The sequence below is a fragment of the Homo sapiens genome, chromosome 12 (assembly GCF_000001405.40).
Source record: "Homo sapiens chromosome 12, GRCh38.p14 Primary Assembly".
In the NCBI taxonomy this organism is placed as follows: domain Eukaryota; kingdom Metazoa; phylum Chordata; class Mammalia; order Primates; family Hominidae; genus Homo; species Homo sapiens.
Window position 1 is genome coordinate 66105467 of NC_000012.12, and position 3690 is coordinate 66109156.

The 3690-nt window shown below is 41.0% G+C and overlaps 1 annotated feature.

Annotated features, from left to right (window-relative positions):
- Positions 1824-2325: an enhancer, noted in NCBI's record as "NANOG hESC enhancer chr12:66501070-66501571 (GRCh37/hg19 assembly coordinates)". NCBI's record gives its function as "activates a minimal SCP1, AML or CMV promoter by ChIP-STARR-seq in primed H9 embryonic stem cells {active_cell/tissue: H9 hESC(primed)}" and the evidence as "EXISTENCE:reporter gene assay evidence [ECO:0000049][PMID:30033119]".

The following is a 3690-nucleotide window of genomic DNA, read 5'->3' on the forward strand; positions in this document are numbered from 1 at the left end:
CGGAAGGCTGATCTACTCCTACTTGATTCTTACTGATCCAAATCATCCTACTCCAAAGAAGCTGAGTTGAGGTTTAGACAGACCACAGACTCTGTTTTATTGTCTCACTACTATAAAAGAGGGATAAAGATCCAATAAGCACTGCTCACTTTTCTTGAACATCTTGAGACCCTGGTCTCTTTCATTGGTAACCTTTAATTCTGGTTCAAGTGGTGAGAATGTATGTGTGTGCACATGCAAATGCATATGTTAGAAATGAGAATACTTTTTAAAGCACAAAATAAACTTTTCAGAAGCTTACCCGATATTAAGTCACTCTGGGAAGCCATATGCTTATTGCAATTTTGAGGCATTCATTCATCAGCAAGGTTTTGAAGGCTGGCTACACTGAGTGGAATATGGTCATTTAACAATGTAATCTTTGTAAGGGTCATCAATCTCATTTGAATAAATATATCAGTTAAATAGATCAATTTCAGTTAAATAAAATTATGGTACATACATAAGATGGAAAGTATTTCCAACTCTGAAGCTCTTAAAGAGAATTATTTAGCCCACCTCCAAGATATGCTGTTAAGTGAAAAAAGACAGACGCAACAGTGTGTTTCGTGAGCTACCATTTATGTAAGGAAAAAAAGGATATATATGTATATGCTTATATTATAAAAGCCCAAAACGTTTCTGAAAGACTACATAGGAAACTATAACTGTGGTTGCCTGTGGGAGGGTGGCCCCAGACAAGGCATGAAACCAGAGAAATGTATTTGCGACTGTGTATTTGAATTTGTCGTACATGTATATATTTTGCCTATTCAACAACAACAAAAAACTCAAAATAATAAAAAAGAAGTCATCTTTAGTCCTATCTTTAGTAGTTATGTGGTAGAGCACTCTACTGACATGAGGCTGGGCTTTGGGATCAGACAGGTGAAAATTTGGATCCAGGAAGGGCTCCGTGGCTCACGCCTGTAATCCCAGCACCTTGGGAGGTAAGAGGGGAAGATCGCTTGAGCTCAGGAGTTTGAGACCAGCCTGGGCAACATAGTGAGACATCCATCTTTATTTCTATTAAAAAATAATAATAATAAAATAAAATAAAAATAAATAAATAAAAGATTTGAATCCACATGTTAACTGGGAGACTTCCTGGAGGTGCCTTACCTTCTCTGACTACCCATTTACTTCTATGTAAAATGAGGAAAATGATAACCACCTAAAAGGATGGCATCCAGGATTAAGAAAAATAATGAAAGGAAAGACCCAATAGGCACTCAGAAAACTTTATTCCTCTTTCCTCCCTGCATGTAGGAAGGATCCTGGATTGGTTATATGATGTCGTTAGTAATTTTTTTTTTTTTTTTTTTTTGAGACGGAGTTTCACTCTTGTTGCCCAGACTTGAGTGCAATGGCGCCATCTCGGCTCACTGCAACCTCTGCCTCCCAGATTCAAGTGATTCTCCTGTCTCAGCCTCTGAGACAGTAGCTGGGATTACAGGCACATGCTACCATGTCTGGCTAATTTTTTTGTATTTTTAGTAAAGACGGGTTTCATCATATTGGTCAGGCTGGCCTCGAACTCCTGACCTCACGTGATTCGCCCACCCTAGCCTCCCAAATTGCTGGGCGCCCGGCCTGCCCTTAGTAATTTTTAAAGAGTTAATTGATTGCAGCCTGTTTACATTCAAAAATCTTTGATAAGAAGTGCCTCCATGTGCTACAGGAACAGATCCTGGGAGCCGACCTCGGTGCCTCAAAACCAAGATCCCAGCTGAAGCATTGTCTTGGAAGGAAGGTGGGTGTGAAGAAAAAAAGGAAAGAAAGGAAAAAGCAATTTTTTCTCTTTGTCTCAGTGCATGAAATTTCACCATTAAAGTTCTCTCTTTTATATCTTGGTGGCTAGTAAATCCCTAACAGCCCTAATATAGATGATATTTAAACCTCATCTGCTAACACTTTGCAGGGAATTCGTTTAAGCAATTAAAATCTTCCCTTTCCTCAAACACCGCCATCCGTAAAACAGAGAACCGTGAAAGGGAAGGCCGATGGCCCTCTAGTCTAGTCCAAACTGCAACCTGATAAGATTTTAGAAGTCACTCCTTCCTCAAGACCCTTTACTGCCATCTGCTGGAAAAATTTGGTATTAACACACAGATTGCCCTATGACTACAAGACAATGGACCCTCTGGGATTGTGCAACAAACACACCGCTTGCAGAACTGTGAGCAATGCCCCAAAACAAGCTTCACAGTTTTGCCAAGGGCTGGCACTACTGCAGCACAGCCGCCCTTGATCGGTTGCTGTCCCTTCAGGCGTGCGTCCCATGTGAATTCTTTCCTGCCAGGACTTTCCTTGATAACTCTTGTCCATCCATGGTACTAGATGATTATAGCTCCCTTTCTCCAGAACCTCTAGAATGGAATATCTGCAGGGCCCCTTCAGACCATTTCAAAGACCCCTTTAGGTGTCCACGACCTCCCCAGGTGAAAAATTTTTTAAGGAATGTGAATTCATTTTTCCATCATTACTTGAGGCAGCACCATAAATTGTGACAGTGGAGGCCTAATGGAATGCAGCATCGCACGCGAGCCCCATGGATGGGAAACAGACCTGATTAGGTGCCATCAAAACAACACAACTGACCATTGGAAACTCTGCTGAGGTCTCAGGTGCTGAGGAGCAGGAGAGAAGAAGAGAAAGAAGTCCTGTGGGGCTCACACAGCCGGCCAGCCTCTCATCTCAAAGACAGAAACGAGGTTTGGCTTCATTCTTTTCTGCCCACTGATTGCTTTATTTCAAATTACCCTAACTACTTAGCATGGCAAATTAAGTTAAAACCCCCAAAAGTTTGCGGAGAATGTCATCTAATCTGATTAAAAGGAATAGTCCCGTCACAAGCTAGGGAGGAAATGGAAATTACTCTGAGTGCAGTGCTATTAAATAATTTGCATAGACTTGCATATGGTATACATCAGAAAAGCATATGCTCTTTAGATTTAATGAAATAATTTTCCCTTTCTAAAGACTCTTACAGTCTCTGTCCTTCCCTATCTGTCTTTTCCTCTTCCCAGCTGTCTCTTTTTGAATGCTAAAATTATTTCATGAGGAGGGTACATAGCAATGCACAAATTACATGAAATATGTTAATAATCTTCCTGCTGGCAGGGCTGGGAGGCCCTGAAACTGCATTGCCAAACTTCCCAAATGTCCCCCTTGTCAATCTCACATAATTAAAGGCTCCCTTTACAACCTTAAAAGGTTCCGTTTGATTCATTTGGGGCTTCCATTGATGGGGGAAGGGTGGTTAAAACCAATCCTTTGGCTCTACTTTCCCAAATAATGTCTTCCTAACTCTATGCAATAGCATCTAAATCAAAATGAAAATGAAAGGAAAAATTGCCATCATGCCCATGTCATCTACATCAGTTGAGTCTGTGACACTGCCATTGAGGTTGCACACATACAATAATCATCCTTGAAAGATTTTTGTGCCTGCTCTGCTTTTCAGGATTCAAAACCCTTGACAAATGTTAGCTGCTATTAAAGCATCACCCCCATTCTATCAATGGAAACAAGGAAGCCCAGATAGGGGAGTATGATGGGCTAGTGGCTATTGGCCGGGGAAGGGAAGGGGAGGGGAGATGAAATCTAACTATTTTTGTATTCTCTATGGATATTCACTAGTTTTTTAGT